This window comes from Homo sapiens, chromosome 18, assembly GCF_000001405.40.
Source record: "Homo sapiens chromosome 18, GRCh38.p14 Primary Assembly".
Classification (NCBI taxonomy): domain Eukaryota; kingdom Metazoa; phylum Chordata; class Mammalia; order Primates; family Hominidae; genus Homo; species Homo sapiens.
The window spans coordinates 13357411-13378042 of NC_000018.10; the positions used below are offsets into that span (position 1 = coordinate 13357411).

General features: G+C 47.0%; 1 protein-coding gene across 41 annotated transcripts in view, besides 4 other annotated features; it reads left to right on the top strand.

Annotated features, from left to right (window-relative positions):
- The window catches only part of LDLRAD4 (low density lipoprotein receptor class A domain containing 4), a 435073-nt gene that overhangs the window by 139729 nt on the left and 274712 nt on the right, over positions 1-20632 (top strand). The gene's annotated exons all lie outside the window — the stretch shown is intronic.
- Positions 8786-9433: an enhancer, noted in NCBI's record as "NANOG-H3K4me1 hESC enhancer chr18:13366195-13366842 (GRCh37/hg19 assembly coordinates)". NCBI's record gives its function as "activates a minimal SCP1, AML or CMV promoter by ChIP-STARR-seq in naive H9 embryonic stem cells {active_cell/tissue: H9 hESC(naive)}" and the evidence as "EXISTENCE:reporter gene assay evidence [ECO:0000049][PMID:30033119]".
- Positions 17708-18907: an enhancer, noted in NCBI's record as "P300/CBP strongly-dependent group 1 enhancer chr18:13375117-13376316 (GRCh37/hg19 assembly coordinates)". NCBI's record gives its function as "activates an origin of replication core promoter dependent on BRD2, BRD4, P300/CBP, MED14 and CDK7 cofactors, with strong dependence on P300/CBP, by STARR-seq in HCT116 cells {active_cell/tissue: HCT116}" and the evidence as "EXISTENCE:reporter gene assay evidence [ECO:0000049][PMID:35650434]".
- Positions 17908-18037: an enhancer, noted in NCBI's record as "active region_13115". NCBI's record gives its function as "activates an Ori minimal core promoter by ATAC-STARR-seq in GM12878 lymphoblastoid cells {active_cell/tissue: GM12878}" and the evidence as "EXISTENCE:reporter gene assay evidence [ECO:0000049][PMID:35858748]".
- Positions 20140-20434: a silencer, noted in NCBI's record as "tiled region #1453; K562 Repressive non-DNase unmatched - State 21:Repr". NCBI's record gives its function as "represses a minimal TATA promoter and a strong SV40 promoter by Sharpr-MPRA in K562 cells {active_cell/tissue: K562}" and the evidence as "EXISTENCE:reporter gene assay evidence [ECO:0000049][PMID:27701403]".

Below are 20632 nucleotides of genomic sequence, written 5' to 3' on the forward strand. Positions count from 1 at the left end.
AGGAAAAAAAAAAAAGGAAGTTTATTTGTTAAAGACACTGGACCTGTTGGCTCTAGAGGTTCCTTCACCCTGGATTTTGCTGACTGCAGACTTGTGGTATAATTCAACATGTTTGTTTATCCTCTGTATTTCCTATATCTTGGTAGCTGTATTAGGAAGCTTGATCAGAATTTGGTCTTCTTTGGCAAGTGTAGAAGAAGTGGTATATTTTTTCATCAGGAGATATGTGTGCCTGTCCATATTTCTTTTAATATTGTCTTCCTAGTTGCATTAGTTCATTGGGGGGTTAGAAGATGGGCATCCTGCAGTTCTGTTATTTTGTTTTTACTTATTGGCTGGAACATTTTTGTAAGGACATGCTTCCCTTCATCTACCATTTGGTTACCCATGGTATATGGCTCATATAAATGGTTGATGTTCCTTTTAGTTACCAAGTTTCCCAGTCATCCTTGAGAGATGACTGCTTTTTTACATATAATTATGAACTCATGGATTTTAACATAGTTGATGTTTCGATCCATCACAATTATTATTATTACTGAAGTTCAAACTATCCTATCCCTGACCAGTGAAACCCTTTTCTGGTTGTTTCCTGAGTCCTTTTGACGTGGCCCTAGTCTTCTTTGATGGCTTCTTTGCTATTGGGTATGACAAGATCATACCCAATCCACACTCATCTTGTATATTTTTTGCACCAGACCTGGAATCAGCCATTTGTTTCAAGAAGCTCTAGTTTTTTATAATGATAAGTTGCATTTCAAGAGCATGGTCTGTATACTAGGGATATTCACTGACACGAGGTTATTGTTTTTAGGACTTTTTAGTGGACAGAGCCAGGGATGTATGTGTGTGTGTATTTATATCTATGCATCTATTTATCTATCTATCTGTTTATCGATATAGATATCTAGATTATATATATCTAGATTATTTTATATATAGAGAGAGATTATATGTTTTCACAAGATAAAAGATTTTGTGAATGCCTGTTGATATATCCAGTTCAAACAGAAGATTATTGAGTTTTTCTATATTACATTTATCTCCTTCCATCTACACTGAGAATGCTAATTTTCAAGGACATGGGGGATGATGGTTAGAATATTTTATTATTACTCATTTGATTTATCCCTAAAATGTGATAAATAAAATTTATCCTATTTATCCCTCAAATGTGATAAATCAAATTTATCCCATTTATCCCTCAAATGGGATAAATCAAATGTACAGAGTTAGACGAAAACTACTAATTCTACCGTCACCAATTGTGATGACTGGAAACAGTTTGTTGCAGAGGAAAAGCAATTCTAACCCTGCTCTTTTTGAAGTTTTTCTGTAATTGATACTTAGAAAGTTGGCTTACCATATTTCCAGCTGGAAATAATTCATCCATATTATTAAAAATCATAATTCAGAAAGATACTGGGTGGCTAGAAAAATCAGTTAACACAAATATGATGAAATTTAACAAAGGTGAAAATTTTCATTCTGAAACTCCATTATGTAATTTTAGGATGGGAAAGTGAAAAGAACTATGGATGGAGAAAAGAATAGTAGTAAACCAAAACACAACAAAACCCAAGACTGTGATGTACACCAGTAATATCAGGCGGCTGAAAACCAACAGAATCCCACCCCTGGCTTTTCAGGCTGTGTTCCTAGGAGCTTGGTGTTTTCATCAGTGCACGTGGTTACTCCATGGAATCCCAAAATTGTCATTCCAACCTGTGCTCAGCCTCAGGCTTTGTGCACAAGGACAGGCATTGACACACTATAGGTGGCTCTGAGGCAGGGACTCCAGGGAGCCAAGAATCTGGACATTGTGTCACAGGAGAAGCAGCTGAGGAGTTGAGGGATGGAGAGGACTCCATGGTTGTAAGAGACCTTCAAGTAAATGGAGTAGCCTTTCTGTGGAGGAAGGGAGTGGGGTCTTAGCATAGCTTGAAATGATCAGTCTGGGGCCTGTGGGTGCAAGGTACAGGGAAGTGAAACCTCAAGCCGTGGTCAGAAGGTGGTTTCTAACAGCAGGACTTGCCCAACAATGGAATGGGCTGCTTGTCACATGATGTACTTCCGTGCCTTTACCATTGTTTAAGACAACTTGGAAAAAAAAAAGCCATGTTCTTACCTGCTAACTCCAATACTCTGCTGTTCCATTTGCTATGTAATATTAGTAAGGAAGGGATTTAATTTTTTAATTGCAGATAAGACATGATTGTGAGCTCATTTTAGGGAACTTAATTTCCTGGGAGTTGTCTCTCATGGATGCCTAATTAGGAGGCACTGCCAGTTGGATTTGGTCTTATCATCACAGAGATGATGAATGATTTGAACGTTGGTGGTGATCAGAAAGATTGCCCCTAAGAATCCAGCTTTCTGGTGACATCTAGATTGAGCACTTCTTGATACAGGCCAACCGCAGCATTGCAGAGGGTTCTGATGCCTCCAACCTGCTTTGCCCTCAGATGACGCTGTTCTTGGCTTATGTGTTTCAAAGATTCCCTTCCAGCCAACAGGCATGGCTAAGGCACAATTGGACATTGATTAGCTTTGTTTCTAGCAATCTTTGGCTTTTGAAATCAATGTGACTGAGGTGTTTTCAACTTCAGATGGAGCACAGAGACTGTGAGCTGTAGGTGGGCCACAGAATGGAAAGATGAGAAACTTCAAGCTGTGGCAAACCTTGGAGAACAGTGAGTCTCCTGAGCGAGGGGCAGGCTTGGCCACATGGAATCTCCACCAAGCTGGCCTTGCTTGGGACCCAGGCTTCTGACCTTCCTGCAGGTCATTTCCTCTCATCATTGGAGGGAAAAAACATCACATCTCGGAGCCACTTTGGAAACAGGTTTATTTTAGTTTCAGACCAATAATAAAATATCCTGTAGAGATTCCCTTCTCAGAAAAGTGCTGTTTGCCCTCAGGGAGGTTGTAGTCAAACTGGGAGTGCAGTGAGATGAATCCAAGTGAGGAGATGTGTGGTATTACAGCGCAGCCAGCGAGGATAAAGCAGCGCTCACCTGCCATGATCCTGGCTAGTTTTCACTCTCAGTGCTGTTGTGCATTTTGCCTGGTGGCAGATATCAACACTAAAAAAAGTATGACAAAAGATTCCTGGATTTTTAGGTCAATGGAATTTCCAGGTCATCAATAATAACCATGGATAGTCTTGAAAAGAGCATAAGTAGACATGATCTGGATTTTCCAATTTCTGCCTTCAAACGTACTGGCCATTTACATTTATTTGAAAAGATAAGTTGATGTAAGAGAAAATCTCTGGTATCATTTTTCAAAAGGCAGGCAAGGCCACTGAGATGCAGGGCAATTGGCCACCCTCTTAAACAAGGCTTCTCCCTGGTGTGGAAACTGAGTGAAGGAGAGGCATGGTATGTACCACTTTGACGCTATGCAAGTAAGAGGTGACATGAAGATGAAAATTCCTGGACCCTGGGAGAATTTCTGGTATTTTTCTGTCCCTTTTCTCCCCACTGATTTCTTTTTTCTCCAGAGGAGGAGGCAGATGAGTGGGAACTGAGTATAAAAACTCCACCACACTTTGCATTCAGAATTCAGAATAGTCTTTAAGGTTTGCACCAAATATTTGGGTATTGCATGTGCATTGTGATGTCAGCTTGTTGTGGGAGGGAATGGGGTCAGTAGCACACGTGACATCTGTGCAGAGCCCATCACTCATCAGGAAGACCGTCAGCAGGGGTCCCCTCCCGTTTTGACTCAAAATACACTTCTACAAGCTCCGCCTCCTGGGTTCACGCCATTCTCCCACCTCAGCCTCCCGAGTAGCTGGGACTACAGGCGCCCACACTCGGCTAATTTTTTGTTTTTGTATTTTTAGTGGAGATGGGGTTTCACCTTGTTAGCCAGGATGGTCTCAATCTCCTGACCTCGTGATCCACCCACCTTGTTTCCTGTCATTTTAACATACATAATATACCAACATTTCTGGTGGTGATTTTTAGTAAGGGATGTTGGATTGGAAGAAGGGTATATATCTTTCCTTATACTATAAGCATTCTGAGTACTTCTTGTTGCACCTCGCTTTGTTTGGTGGTTCCAGGCCCTCAGTACAGTTCTCCAGAAGGGATAGCCAATTTCACCATGGCCTTAAGCCAGATTTCTGTTGTCCCATCTGCTGGAAGATGAGGATGTTCTCTTCCTGGGCCTCTTCATGCTAGTTCTTTCATTGGCAGGAGTGCGTGTTGTCTTGTAGGGGTTCTGGATGACATCACTGCTGCCCACACCCATGCAGGTGTTAGGGCTGGAGGTGAGGCCGTGCTGACAGCTGAGAAGGGACAGTTGCAACAGTTTGTAGGATGAGAAATAATGAGTTGCATGTTTTCCATGAGGGGCCTCTCCATCCTAGCATGATGTCAGCTGCATTCTTGGTAGGGTCTGCCCCCAGCCAGCCAGAGCAGGCTCATGGTAGAGCGACGCATGACTGCTTGGATCTGTTTGCAATGGGGTTTGACACAGAAGGCAAGTCTTGACTGCATGAAGGTTTAATAGGAGCGTACTTGACATAGGAGGCGAGTTTTGACTGTATGAAGGTTTAATAGGAGCGTACTTGACATAGGAGGCGAATTTTGAGTGTATGAAGGTTTGATAGGAGCGTACACTTGTGATTGTCACCCATCGAGGTCTGTGGGCAAAGGCACACATTTGGAAGGTAACACAAGCAGAGGCGTGAGCGAGAGGAGAGAGGCCGTCTTTTAGATTTGTCATTGTGCCTTTGTCTCATACACTGACTGTTCTGTTGAAGCTGGTTGTGGGTTGTACGAGTTTGTGTAGGACCGTTGGATGGCTATTCTAGTCTGATAGTCTGTCAGTGTGGACTGAAACCTCTCTCAGTTTATCAGCATGGGAGTGAAATTCGTGCTTTCCTATGATTGTGCCAGCTGACTGTTCCAGTGACCTTATCATTCAGTCTTTTGCAGTCCAAATAGACCTTGTAAATGGAGTTTTGGAATATGTCTCTACACGCCATAGATGGAGGGAACTCACAGAGGAGACCAAGGTATGATGTGCAGCAGCCATTTAGGAGTCAGAGCCCACTAGGGGCAGTCGGATTCCAAAACCTCCGTGCCAGCAGGGCAGCCATGCGGCCTTCAGATTGCAGTCTCCATGCTTTAGCTATGCATCTAGACATTTCTAGCTGGACCTTAATAGAAATATGAACACATCTTAGAAGGCAAATTGAATAAAACAAGTGGAAAATTTAAAAGGTAAATGTAGCAGAAAACAGTGTGATAGATTAATGGTATGGAAACCAATTTAATAGAAATGAGAAGGGGAAGACAAAGATGATAAACGTTAAGTTATTCTTGAGTAAGAGTTAGTCTTTGGGTTGTGGGCAGGAAGGATCCTTCTGACTCTATGAAAATTACCCAAGAGGGAAGTGGATTGCTGGATATGAGCTTGTTGGGTACTTTTATGCCTATAGAGAAGAGCTAAATTAGAAAACTTTTTTTTTTTTCTTTGCTTGAGATATGAGAGCCCAACTCACCTTTGGGGAAAAATGGAACATATTTCTAACCAGTTCTGTGCTCTGTCGTTAGTTATCAGGTTAGTCATAAAAATGCCAACCGGCAGCAAAGGCTGGAGAACACTAAGAATGGAGAAGGGGGACCAGGCGTGGTGGCTCACGCCTGTAATCCCAGCACTTTGGGAAGCAGAGGCGGGCGGATCACGAGGTCAGCAGATTGAGACCATCCTGGCTACCACGGTGAAACCCCGTGTCTGCTAAAAATACAAAAAAAATTAGCCAGGCGTGGTGGTGGGTGCCTGTAGTCCCAGCTACGTGGGAGGCTGAGGCAGGAGAATGGCGTGAACCTGGGAAGTGGAGCTTGCAGTGAGCCGAGATCGCGCCACTGCACTCCAACCTGGGCGACAGAGCAAGACTCCGTCTCAAAAAAAAAAAAAAAAAAAAAAAAGAATGGAGAAGGAGGTGGTTAGGTGGGCAGGCTTCATGTTGTTTCCCTTAACGAAGGTCTTCAGGCTGCGCCGGGGAAAGGGAGAGTGGAAATTCAAACAGATTTCTCAAGTGTGCAAGGGTGTGTTTTAATTATTCCAGTGCCAAAAAGAGCTTTGTCTAAACAAAGCCAAACCTGTTATGCATCGTGTCAGAGGAGCCTAGGAGTCAGCTTTGAGGACAGTTTTGCATTTTTAACTATCACATTGTCTTTGGATTGGTGTTGGCTTATGACCTTGGCTTTCAGGGACTGTTTTGACAGCTGACAATGATGATGCTAGTTCTCATTTCCATGATAAAATATGTAGTGTCAGGAGGAGTAATGTAATAAAAATAAAAATAAAATAAATATTGGTTGTGGTCTCACAGATAGCTTGAGTCTTTATAATTATAATCAGTCTCATTTTTAAAGATGTGAAACATTTTAATTGGCAAATTAACAGCACTAGAGTACTCTTTTGGTGGAACTGTAATGCAGCACCACGCTTGGCTTTTTCAGTGCTTGTCAGGTTCAAAAGTCTCTAAATAATGCCATGTACTATGCTTGTTTCTTGTGGCATCTCTGCTAGACCTGATCTTGTGAGCAGGCTTTAAAGTAGTAAACATAAATTTTAAAAGTTTGGTCTGAAGTATACTGAGGCCATAGAAATGTTCTGTTCTAAAGAATAAATATAATTAGCATAAAACAAGTTTTAATATATATTAAGTGAAAATATCATATCATAGTATCTGTAACATGATACCGTTTTTGGCAAAAGATATATATGCAGAATCATCTGCTCTGAAGGAGACATGCCAAGCTACTAACATTGGTTAACTTTGGTCATGGGGTTACGAGTATTAATGTTTTAATTTACTTATCTGTATTTTCCATTTTTTTCCCACAGTGAACATCATTGCCATTATTGCTTTTTAAGAAAAATGTTCTATAATGACATGTATTATTTGATTTTTTTTTAAAAGAGACAAGGTCTTGCTCTGTCACCCAGGCTGAAGTGCGGTGGTGTGGTCATAGCTCACTGCATCCTCAAACTCCTGGGCTCAAGCGATCCTCCTGCCTCAGCCTCCCGAGTAGCTGGGACTAACAGCATGTGCCACCACACCTGGCTTATTTCTTAAAAATTTTTTTGTGAAGACAGGATCTCACTGTGTTGTCTAGGCTGGTCTTGAACTCCTGTCCTCAAGTGATCCTCCCACTTCAGCCTCTTAAATAGCTGGGATTACAGGTGCGAGCTGCCACACCCAGCTCTATTATTTGATTTTTTTGTGTATGGAGGGGCCATGTCATGCAAGTAGCAAATAAATTTGAAAATCCTCAGTGGACGCACTTTGTTCTGTATTTCCTGCATACCTGAGGCTGGCGATGCTGTGAGTGGTATTATACTCATGTGTGCAGAAGTCTTTCAGTAGTTCCTCATGGAGGAAAGGAAGCAGCCAGCCTAAGCAGGCAGGAAAGGTTCAGCTCAGCGCTCAGTGCAGTTCCACTCGTGTGTTTGAAGTGTGCAAAGTGTGATGGGGGCAAAGAGCACAGGATAGTGTCCTTGTCTGTAAGCAACTTACAGGCTAGTTAGGGAGACAAGACACACCATGAAAGCAGCTAGTGAGCGATGCAGGTGCTGCTGAGTTGTGCAGTACAAGTAACTAAAGCAGCTGCTCAGGCCGTGATGCAGACAGTGGGAGTGATGGAGGGAGACAGGGAAAGGTGAACGTAGCTAGGAGTCATCAGAAATGCGTTTGCATTGCTTTGTTTATTCTTTCCCCTGGAGAGAAGGAGCAGATGCCTGTCCTTGGAAGGAGCTCCTGTATGGCTACACCGTCCGTGCTTCCAGCATTAATCTTTTGCTTTTTACCTTGAGAGCTGGTTCCATGAGAGTCTCTAAAATAGAAAGCTCCGTTAACTAAGTCTGGGTGCTGTCTTCTCGCAGAGATGCTGGGAAAACTTGGCTTCCCTCATGTGTATTCATTAATGCCACCTGAGGATGAACCAAGACAGCTGAGTCTAGCACAAAGTCAGGCTGTTGTGGAAGTGATAATTGTCAATATTTGTAGTGCGCTGTGAGAGTGGTGAAATCCGTTATAAAGAACGTTTTCCACCTTTCGTGCATAAGAAAAATGGATAGTGTCACTTAGAAGACAGCCTGTGCATGTGAATCCCCTCCATGACGGTGTCCTTTTCTGCCAACACACAGTTCTCACACAGCATCTTGCTGTGGGCAAATGTCCTAAGGCTAAATTGACCTGATGCTGAAATGTACTTCCTGTAAAAGCCCATTCGAAGGATGTGATTTCACTCAAGGCACTGCCTGTCTCAAAGTCACCAGGATTCCCTAGCTGAGTTTTATGTATTATTTATTTTGACCACAAGGATACACTGATTATTTGACTGATTGATTGATTTGAAACAGAGTCTCACCCTGTTGCCCAGGCTGGAGTGCAATGGCACGATCTTGGCTCACTGCAACCTCCGCCTCCCAGGTTCAAGTGATTCTCCTGCCTCAGCCTCCTGAGTAGCTGGGATTACAGGCGCCCGTCATCACACCTGGCTAATTTTTTGTATCTTTAGTAGAGAAGGGGTTTCACCATGTTGGCTAGGCTGGTCTCCAACTCCTGACCTCATGATCCGCCCATCTCGGCCTCCCAAAGTGCTGGGATTACAGCGTGAGCCAGCACGCCCGGCCCTTATTTTATTTTTTTTAAAGAGACAGGGTCTCATTCTTTCGCCCAGGCTGGAGGGCAGTGGCACAATCATACCTCATTGCAGACTCGACCTCCTGGGCTCAAATGATCCTGCTGCCTTGGCCTCCCAAAGCCCTGGGATTACAAGTGTGAGCCACCACACCTTGTCCGATTATTTGAAATGCAAAGTAAATGTCTGTGTCTGTAAATCCTGAGCTCACAGGAAATTATGTGTTGATCTCACAATGAATGAGTATTCAGGAAGAGACCCTGGTTGCTTCTCAGCAGGTAGAGAGGATAATCCCGGGCATGGTTTCCTCCTGGTATTGTTTCCCCAAAGACCACTAACAGGATGACTCTCAGGTTCTTCTCTCTGGAAGAACCAGGCTTGCCAGATGCTCAGCTAAATTTAAATACTGGATCTTTTGAAGATCAGTATTTCTCTGCCCTGAATTGACCACTGTGGGAGATATACTCTTGGAGATCAGGGTCTGGAATGTATTGATTTGATACTGAAACTTCAGCAGAAAAAAATCCTTCTGAATAAATATGAAGGTTGTTTCATCTTTATCATCTGGATTCTGTCTTTGGTCTGATCCCTCTCAAAACAGTTACTGTTTCTGTGAAGTCATTCGGGGGTGGAGGGTGTTAGCTGCTGCAGTCACATCCAATGGCTGGGTTCTTCAGCACCCACCACGGGCCAGTGGCTTCTCTCCAGCACCGCAGTGATGGGTGCTGACGGTTCATGAGGCTGCCCTTTCAGTCTTGCGTGGTTCTTAATTATTAAAGAACAAAGACACATTGGCGTGTTTCTTGTCAGTGCGTTGAAGCCTGTCTTCCCATATTTCTTGCTCGCTGGTCCTCATTCTGATCCTTGTGGTCAAAATAAATAAATACATAAAACTAGGGAATCCTGGTGACTTCTGGACAGGCAGTGCTTTGAATGAAATCACATCCACCAAATGGGCTTTTTACAGGAAGTACGTTTCAGCATCAGGTCAGTTTACTCTTAGGACATTTGCCCACAGCGAGATGCAAACTGGGTGTCACACAGAACAGTCCTGTTGCTGTCCACAGGGAAGTCCTGTGGCTGTGGGAAGGAGGTTTTGCAATCCCCTCCAGCCCCACTCCGTTACAACCAGTGGAGGTGGAACTTGGAATCTTTGAAATAAACTCCTCAGATGATTTTGGTTCACACAGAGTCAGAACCGCTGTGGCAGCGTGAGGGAGTTTTGTCAGGTGGTGTGATTGGCAGGTGGGGCAGAGGGGCCTGGGAGATGAGGTCCCGCTGTGCAGAACACACGGGGACTGGCAGGCAGGAAAGGGGGCGAGGGGGTCTCAGGCATTGAACTGCGTGGGGCACTCCATGGGGCAGAAAAGAGCCTGGCAGGTTTTGGAGGTGCACTGTATGCTCAGGAAGGATTCAGTGCACACCAGGCAGCTTCCGTCCAGGCGGAGAGCCAGGGCCCGGGTGCTGCAGCAAGGCGGCTGTGGCAGTGCCAAGCGAGTGGACAGAGGGTCTGCAGGCCACTCAGTGGCTGAGAGGGTGGGCAAGCAGCTGCAGGGCCAGGTAGCCCCATCTGCTGTCAAGGAGTGTGCCGAGAGGGGACAGCCGGGCACGGGGGCACACGTTGTCAAGGGATATACCGAGAGGAGACAGCCGAGCCCGGGGGGCATGCACTGTCAAGGTGTTTGCTGAGAGGGGACAGCGGGGCCTGGGGGCACGTGCTTTCAGGGGATGTACTGAGAGAGAGGGGACAGTGGGGTGTGGGGGTGTGCTATCAAGGGGTGTATCGAGAGGGGACGACTGGGCATGGGGGCGTGTGCCTGTGGTCACAGCTACTCAGGAGGCTGAGGCAGGAGTTTTGCTTGAGCCTGAGAAGTCGAGGCTGCAGTGAGCCATGACGGCACCACTGCAGTCCTGCCCAGGTGACAGAGTGAGACCTGAGACCCTGTCTCATAAAATAAAATAAGGAACAGATGTGGGAGGAAGGGTCTGTTTTTGGCTTCTTAGACCTGGGTATATCTGGGGGTGGTGCGAGTGAGCCTTTCTAGGAGGCAGCTAGCAGATAAAGGTGTGGAGCCCAGGGGATGCTTCCTGCACCAGGCGACAGGTTTGGTGGCATTGGCGCACGGTTGGCGTGGAAGCCAAGTTTCTAGAGGGAGCCGACAAGAAGCTGAGTGTGGGACTTTGGGGGATGAGCTAAGGAGGAAGAAGGAACAAGAGAGGAAGAACAGAAGAGTCGGGGGCCCTGCAGAGAACGGGGGCCTGGGTGTCTGAAGAGCAGGCGTGGGCTCAGCACTGTGGGCATGTGAGGTGTGCACTGCCCCGGCCTGTCTCAGGGATGCCTGCTTTCTGTGTAGGGAGCTGCAGTTATGCACAGCCTTGCCTACACCAGAACTTCATATTTAAAGTGAACACATACTAAAATCATAGGCATAAAGCAGCTTTCCCACCGAAAGCAACTCTGATTTTATCCATCCATTACTCTACCTGTCCATCTCCCCTGGGGGTGAGCCTGCTGTGTGTCGGATGCCCTTCCAGGGACTCACAGAGTGCCTCCTGCACCTGCGTCATTGAGATTTCTCCAGTCACTTTTATGTGGGTTTGGGGGACCAGGTTGTTTGGGAGCATCTTCAGTTTTGGAGGATGCTCATGGCCAAAGGCTCACCTGAACTTTGTGTAGGCTGTTTGATGACTAGCTTAATTTGCACTCTTCCTGAATTCCTTCTTCCATACACTTTGGCACTCTGATAGGTTTCAAGTCCCATCTTTGTTACCTGGGGACACTGGAGAGTGGAGAGGCCCAGGGCCATGGGGAAGGTGGCAGGAGCCCTGGCCTTCATGGACTCAGCGGTCCTGGCCTCAAGCTATTCTCCCGCCTTGGTCTCCCAAAGTGCTGGGATTACAGGTGTGAGCCACCGTGCCAGGCCAAGCCATGATCTTTTTTGCCAGAGCCAGCTCAGTCATTGTCCGTGTGTGTCAGCGGTGAGCTGGACGTCAGGCTATAGAAGGAATGTGGAAGCTGACTATGGGAACTGGCTATGGGAGGACCGTGTGCTTTTACCCCAGGCTGAGGCCGGGCTCACAGGCAGGGGACGTGGGAACTGATCATAGCGACCACTTACTCACCTTCTTAGGGTGATCTGGTCATTTTTCAGTTAGTAAGTGTTTATAGAGCACCTGTATTTGGTGCTGGAGGTGTAGGAATGAAACGCATTTTCTGCCCTCTAGTTGCTGTCCAACCTGGTGGAGACAGAAAAGGGAAAAATATGCGCAGGTGTCAGGCGCTCTGTAAGAGGGCATGCGTGTGGGGAGCCTGGGGGCCTGTTGGCCTCAGTGGGCTGTTGGGTGGGCGGCCATGGTCTTGGTGAGAAAGTTGCTGGCAGGGGCACTGTGGGCGTCTGCTGGTGTACTCAGGATGGCCAGAGCATGGCACGGGGTCTCCAGTTGGGGTGGAGGGAGATGAGAGTGGAAGGGAGGCAGTGTTCGGACCGTGAGAAGACACAGGTGCCCCGGAGTGTACACTGCATCTGAAGTGCACTGGGGAGCCTTTGAAGAGTTCTAAGCAGAGAAGTGATCTGAGCAGATGTGTGTTTTGAGAGCCGCCCCTGCACTGCAGCACCTTGGATAAATGCTCTGATTCCCTCTGAGTAAATATTGAGAGTGAACTTCATGCTCTTTAGATAAATATCCTTTCCTTGGTGTCTTTTCTTCTGATGCCAGGCGTCTGGTAATAAACTCCACGTGGGCTTACGCACACAGATACAGATGCCTCCTCCCATGCCTTCTGTTTCCTCTCAAATCAGAGGCAACTGGAAGGGTAATTCAGCCCCGCCCTGCAGCCTGACCACGCCTGCCACCCAGGAGCGAGCCGTGGCTTGGAACTGTGGGGGATTCTGGGAGGTTTTGCGCTCTTGCCACTAGAATGCGTCTCCATTAGCATGGAATAGTCAATGCATGGACATTTTTAATCCTCAGCCAACGCACTAATTAAATTCCTGGTTGCAGGTGGCCTGCCACACAGGGAGCTGTGTCCATAGCAAAGTATTTTCCAGGAAGAAGTGGGTTTCATATCAGGACTGTGAGTCACAGTGCAAAATACATGCGCCAGCACACATTCATACACCACTGCACAGAAGTTTCTGGAGAAGAACTTGCCCTCACCTTCTGAGATGTATTTGTTCTTACTCCTGCATTTGCTTCATAGACCACTAATGGGTTGCAATCCGAAGTTTGGAAAGCATTGTCTTATAGGAACATGGAGTCCAGGGTCCGGAGGTGGGGCTTGTGGTCTCTGTTGCTGTGCTGGATGGACACCGAGGGGAACAGGCTGAGGATGGACCTGTGGAACCACATCTTAAAGACGTTATTTAAATCTAATTTTCAGTTTGCCTTTATTGATTTGAGCTGACTGTGTTGATGCCCCTAGTGACTCTGGTGGGTACCTGCTCTGTGTCAGGGACTCTACAGCGGCACCATATAGTTTAATAAGGAGATGGCACCCTTTCCGTTTCTTGCTGTGCGGAAGTGGCCCAGAGAAACCGCGGGAAATGCTCCATGGAGACTGCCATTTTCTGTGACATTGGGCCTTATGCTGCCTTTAGATGTAGGCAGTGTCTCTTTCATGGTTTTTTGTTTTGTTTTTTTTTTTTTTTGAGATGGATTCTTGCTTTGTCTCTTAGACTGGAGTGCAGTGGTGGGATCTTGGCTCACTGAAACCTCCGCCTCCTGGGTTCAAGCGATTCTCCTGCCTCAGCCTCTGGAGTAACTGGGACTACAGGCGCGCACCACCACACCCAGCTAATTTTTATATTTTTAGTAGAAACGGGGTTTCACCATATTGACCAGACTGATCTCAAACTCCTGACCTCATGATCTCCCTGCTTCGGCCTCCCAAAGTGCTGGGTTTATAGGCATGAGCCACCACACCCGGCCCCCTTCATGTTTCTCAATTCCTACCTTTTCTCACCGGAAAACATTGCCAGAATTTTCAGACTAAGCTGTGGCTCCTGGCGGACTCTGTTCTGAGAACCCGGGTGCCGGTGGGCAATGCGCCCACCAATGCGGTGGGAGGCTGAGGGAAGACTCTCCTTTCTGGCACAGGTGGCTGTGGGACTGCTGTGCTCCTCTCACACCCAGGCTCCAGGAGGAGCAGCCACACAGAGGCTGAGATGGGGGGGCCAGGGCTGGGAAATGCTGTGGGTGTGGGCTGACTGCTGCCATCACCTCTAAGAATGGGGGGCTGCCCCAGGAAGCCCAGTGTTCCATGCCCTGCTGCTGCTGGAGCCCACCTCACAAATGTTAAGCCCTTGCCGCCGCGTTGCTGTGAACCGTTGTACTCCCTAGCATAAACCCTGTGAGTGCACTGGTGCACTGTCCACTAGGGAGGCTGAGTACATCAGAACCCACAGTTGGCCGGGCGCAGTGGCTCAAACCTGTAATCCCAGCACTTTGGGAGGCCGAAGCGGGTGGATCACTTGAGGTCAGGAGACCAGCCTGGCCAACATGATGAAACCCCATCTCCCTTAAAAATACAAAAAAATTAGCCGGGCATGGTGGTGTACACCTGTAATCCCAGTGACTTGGGAGGCTGAGGCAGGAGAATCGCCTGAACCCGAGAGGCGGAGGTTGCAGTGAGCCGAGATCACACCACCACACTCCAGCCTGGGCAACAGAGTGAGACTCTGTCTCAAAAGAGAGAGAGAGAGAAAGAGAGAGAGAAAGAGAAAAAGAGAACCCACAGTCAAGGAACTGCTGAATTTAGCAACAAACATCTTTTTACTAATTCATGTCTTTATTTATGAAGGAAGTTTCATTATAGGATTCCTTAAATAGCAAGAGTTTCTGTATCACATTTAGAACAGCATTAGGTTTACCCTGCTTTTACTGTGCTCTGGACCCAGCCCTTGAGTGTCTAGAGACACTCAAGCCATGGTTTCTACTTACATGGGACGGTGAGTTAAAGTTGATGATATTTAAGAGCAGTTTTAATTCCTGAATGCCATAATTCTGCTCAAATGTAAAAGGTTAGTTTACCATATATTTCATCACACTTGATCTATTGTCGAATTCACCAAGCACTGCCGTGTGCCCTTGCCAGGCATGCCATCAGAAAGGCCGGTCCCTGCCCTCAGGAAGTGCTGGCAGCCACACCCCTGTGCACCTGTTCTTCGCAGGGCAGACCTGGAGGTTGTTCCTCTCTACCACAGTTGCCTTGGGGGTACACGTAAAGGTGGTGTAGTTTTTTTCCTGGTTAGCCTTACTTTTACCTACCTTTTGAGAGGAAGAGAGGATTTGCTCGTCAGCAGTATCTTTTGCTGAACACTAAGCTAAATTCTAAGGGAAAATGCAAATAAAAACACCTTGCCCTTGAACTATTAGAAGAAATGAAAGAGACAAGATGAATGCAAGAAAAATACAGAGAACAAAACAGCACACAACAAGCAATTATTTATGTTAATTGGTGGCAGCTGTACAGAGCTGGGATGGGCGTGCTGGGAATGCTAGGCCGTCTGGGTGTCCTGGAGGTTCCTCCAGGGTGACTGAGAAACTGAAATGAGGCCAGCTCTGCAGGGTTTTTCCCCTCCCTTCCCTGAAGCTGTGGAATGGAAGTTGAATAAGACATTGCACTGAAGATGAGGAGGGTATGGTCCGGTACTCAGCACTTCATGTTCATGCTCCATGTCCTGGGCAGGGCTTGTCTGTGTTAATAAAGTTTTATTGGCATGTAGCCACACCATGTGTTTGTGTGTTGTCTGTTGGGGCTGCGTCCCTGTCTTCTCGGCAGAGCAGAGGAGCAGGGGCCGAGGCGGCATGGCCTGTGCAGAACCGTTCACCATCTGGGCCTTTGTGGGAAGCTTGCTGTCTGGGCTCCAGTTGCGTCTTCATGTAAACTCAAAGTAAACACATGTACACAATAAATATCAACAACGGATTTTCTGGCTAGGGTCTCGCAGACTAACAGATTTCAGTGGAGCTGGGTGTAAGCACATCTCTGTATTTATTCCCAATTATTTTTATCATTTTTAATGGAACTCTTAACAGCTCACACTCCTTTGGCATCCTCTACCACAACTGTTTAATGTGTGTGTGTGTGTGTGTGTGTCTTTTGAGCAAAGGCAGAAATCCCTTGTTTTGATTTCCTTTTCTCATCGCAGCAGTTGTAGCGCTCTGGCTTTATACGCTTTGAGAACCTAAAAAGCAACTGGGTCTCAACACCAACTCATGGCCTTTTTTTAAGTTTGTGTATGACATTATACACATATGTATAAATATATGTGTATTTTTGCTTCAGTGGAATGAAAATGTGCGTCACAGACTGTATGTTCAATGTTTTCTTTAGCTGCTCACAGTTATAGGATTGTGCAGAAACGCTTAGCTATCTTTGTTGCTTGTGTGCTGACTAATGAAATAATTGATTTTTCCTCTTTTGCATTTTTAGAATCAGAAGATTATTTTTTCAAGTAAGCTTATACTATAATTCAATGATTGATGGTTGAGATCTTTGCTCATATTTTCATTTTCAGAGATTAATATATGCATTTTGAAGGAGACAGTGTATTTAGTAAAACAAACTGAAATAGCTCCCCTTTTATATTTAAGCAAAATGGATAGAAAATCAGTAACTTGCTTTTGAATAGTACCTGGCAGTTTATGTGGTATTTTGCAGTTCAGTGTAGAAATAAATGCTACTTTTTTGTGACACAGCACACTTTTAGCTGAAACGTGGAGTATACTTTTACCTTGTACATTTTCATTTAGACTGGATTTTAAAGCTACCTTAGTTATTTTTTATAATAAATTCCAGAGTTTTCCAAAATTCTCTCATTTCTTTTAAAATGACACGTGTACAGTTCCATTCTTCTTTGATAATATGTCTACATTTATAAATATTTTCTAAATATTTCACATATTTCCACCATGCAAACGTGTGGAAATGTGTGAAATATTTAGAAAAAATGTGTACGTTTGATCCTCAACCACGTGGAATTTGCTTTTACCTTTTAGAGAAATCACACTTGGAGGTGATGTCATGTGTCCCTGATAATTACACGTAAATGTTGGCTGTTTTGTTACCTTCTGACCCACATAGGTCGTCTCTTGGGATAGCACAGGTAGCAGAGGATGCTGCAGAGGCCAGAGCCCTCCCAGCCCTGACCCCACACAGGCTCCTATGGAGGCCGGAGCCCTCTCAGCCCTGACCCCACACAGTCTCCTGTGGAGGCCAGAGCTGGGTCATGGACTGCAGGCTGCCGATGGGAGCAAGCTCTCATGCAGGAGTGGCTGTCTGTCCATTGTTGGTCTGTGGAGAAGGTTCTAGAGCCAAAGAACCTGGAGTCTAGAATCTCACTAATTAGATGTGGTCCCCAGCAGCATCAGCATCCCCTGGGAGCTGGTTGGAAATGCAGCCTCTTGGGCCCTGCCCCGGACCTGCTGAACCGAATCTGCAGTCACCACATCCCCGGAATTTGCAGGCACCTTAATCTCAGGAAGCTCTGGTCTGGATCTTCGCTTTCCCAGAACAGCCGTGCATCAGAATCACCTTTGGAGCTGATGAGACACTGCAGAGTCCTGCCCCAGCCCCGACAGATAGTGATTCAATTGGTCTGGGGTGATTCTGCCACCCAGCCAGGAGTGGGACCCGTGCTCTGAAATGGTCATCCCTGTTGGCTGAGGGGCGATTGAGAAGGCCAGCACCTGCTAGGTGTGTGTCTGGAAGTCTGCAGCAGCTTCAATTACACAGCCCAGCTGCTGGGAGCCTCATCTTTAGGACTCTATCCCCAAGTGGACATCTTATTCCTAAAGAGCACCCCAGGCCCTGGACCTGTGTGTAGGTGCCGTCTGCAGCCCCATGACGGGGATGGAGATTTGCAGGCGTCTAGCCACCCAGCCTCCACTCCCTTCCCTTCCTGTTCCCATGGAAACAGATTGCGGGAACACTGGGCATGGTGCTATCTTTACCCGGTTTTTGGCGATCTGAGGTCTGTTTCCATGGGAACTAGAAGGGAAGGGGACGGTAGTGGAGCAGCTAGACTGCTTTTAGATTTTGATGGCAGCCTCTGTGCTCACTGTAAAACCTGCTTTGCCCAAGTTTACCTCTAGGCCAGGGGTCCGTGCAGCTCTGAATGCAGCCAGGACTCATCTGGAGGAGAGGCCGGTGGAAAAGGAGGAGAAAAGGAGGAGGTCTGAAAATATCCTTGAAAATGCCAGTCATTCCCTTTTCCTCCAGGAAGCCATTTTTAGGTGTTGGTATAAGTTATTTAAATGCCATCTTTAGTTATTATTTCTTGTATGGTTTTATTGAACATAATAACATGTTTTTATTCAAAGGAAGTGAGGAGATGAGTCATTTCGATAGGAGTGATGTCTCCGACGTGGGGAATCCCTGTGGCTCGGCAGTGCGAGTGAGTCACAGCTGGCTCTGTGTGTTGGGCTGGAAATGAGGGCCTGCTGGGTCAGGGCAGGGCCGAAGCTGAGTGAGATGGGGAGGCTTGGGTTGGTGGTAAGGACAAAGTAAAGTGATGCTGACCTATTTAAGTATTTGAAGATGAAAAGCTAAATTCTAATCTAAGCAGGCCCTGGCCTGAGTGAATGCTCTGAGTGTTCAGTTATGGAGTGGAGTTTACTGGGGCAATCATGGTGCTCTGCTTTTCCCTCCCTTCCCTCTGTACAGTCAGGGAACAGCACCCTCTTCCTCCCTGCCAGGGAGCCTGCACCTGGTGGGAGGCCTTCTCCTCCTCGTTTCCTCCCGCCCGCCAGCGCCTTGCTCTTCAACACTGGTCTTGTCCACCGGCGTATGTGTGTTTCCCGATTTCAAGTGTATTTGTTAATTATCTAGTTTTTAAGTAAAAATAGAGGGTAGTTTTGGTGATTGCCTGGGGTATTGGGGATATTTGGGGAGCAGTGGCCCAGATTATCTTGGTGAAAGTGGCAGCAGCTTACTTTCCTTGGAGGAGTGAAATCAAGTCCTCGTTCTTGCCGTTTGAGGGAACTGTGTTCACTTCATCAGACTCTGGGAGGGAGGGTAGGCACGAGGTTGCTGTCTGTTGCGGGAAAGCTGCCCCTCCCTGCCTGTCCTCCCAGGCTGTGCGGGCACTGGCCTCTGTCTGAAGAAATGTGCTTAGGTCTCCATGCAGAGTAGGGGTTGGAATAAATCGATTCCTACTTGTCAACTCCAGTGGGGAAGGGAATAAATAAGGGCCAGATTCTGAGAGGGAAAAAGAAAAATCTAAAGAAGACATGACTTTCCGTGCAGAGGAAGTTGGCGGTCAGGCTGGCGCGGCCCACGGTCGCTTAGATCATGAAAGGCCTCTCAGAGCCTGTGCATCCCCATGAACAGCGGCGTCAGCTGCCAAGCATGGCAGTTATATTCCCTCTTGCCAGCGGCATCCTGTGGTTTTCTCTGGTGGATCCCAGGAATTCTCCTGCCTGGATCTGACGGTGGACATATAAGACAGACAGATCCTTTCAGCATCAGGTATACACAGGGGCTTCTTCTGCGGGTGAGGGCACAGCTCAGGATGAGACGGCTCCTGCAGTTGCCGATCAGTGCCTCTGAAGCCCAGCAAACTCAGCACACCCTCGGCGTCCGGTGCTGTGGAAGACTGCTCTATCACACGCGGTTCCAGAGGGGCCAGTTCTGTCTTCCAGGAGGGCACGTATCTTTACCGCTGCCTGGGCTGCCTGGCGGGATACATGGTACCTGTCTGTGGTGCTTTCCCCATGAATAACCCTCACTTGCTTTTCCTGTGTGAGAGCACACGCACGGGCCTTCGTTACCAAGGCAGTGGAAATTGGTCTAATGAACTCTTTCTGCCTGGCCGGAGGCCTCCAGAACACAGCGGTGGGGTTTGTGGCCCCATTAGTTAGAGACCAGGCAGCCTTCCCCTGGGTTCTCTGCCCTCTGTGACAGCTGCTCCTGGGGACAGATGCACTTTCACATCCTGCCTCGCCTGGCCTTGCAGGAAGTCAGGAAGCTCTCTCAGTGCTCCCTGAAGGTGCATCGAGTCGGGACTACCCGTCAGAAGGCTTAGTGTGCCGGGCCCCGCAGGTGGCATTTGATGTGTGTCACACCCAAGAGCTCCTCTGTCACACTCTTGGGTCTGCTCACTGCCGGTAACATCAACGCCAGAGCCATCCTCTGACAGCACTGTTTTGCATTCTGTCCTTCAGACATCGGCTGAAATATGCATCTCCTTGGATTTCTGTGGCCAGATTAAGTTATTTCACCAACATGAACTGACTAGGCTGCGTCACGTCTGTTTCCATAACTTGGTCTGCCTCAATGATGGTTTTGCTGCTTGAATTGCAAGTCATTCTTGGAAAGGCTGGTCTAGAGGTTATCTTTTTTTAGCTCTTAGATGAGTGCCCGTGCCTTCTCCCAGGTGGTTGTACAACCCATGACTTTCCTAGGGTGGCACGCGATTAACTGCAAATAATTTCTTCTTCTGGTTCCCTTAAGTGGGAGAAATAGCAGAGTGGTTGAACCGAAGTTTAAGTTCTAAGAGGATATCAGATGGGCCTGTATCTGTTTCTCCTCTTCAGGCAATAGAAACCGCTTCCTCTCTCCAGAGGAAAGTGGGACTTCCCCTACCTTTTGTCATAATGGACATACTCAGGCAGTGAGGAGTCATCATTCCGCCAGAGCACAAACTGCTGGCCAGTCCCAAGAGCTTCGCGAGCGTGACCCGCCATTGAGCCTACATTAAGTTGCATGGAGCAATAGGCAGAGCCTCGCAGGCCCATCCCAGACAACACAGAGTCTCCCCTGGAAATATCTAAGAAAAGTCTTACTGGAGCATTTCTGTCCACCCCCACTCACCTTGAATTGGATACCGAGTTGTGAAAAATTATATAAAGTGGACAGTTTTTCTTTGTCCTAAAGGAATATATATTCCTCAGATAATGAATGTGAGCAAATGAGACAGAAGTGCTTCATGAAAGCTCAGCTGTTCCCTGTGTGTTTGATT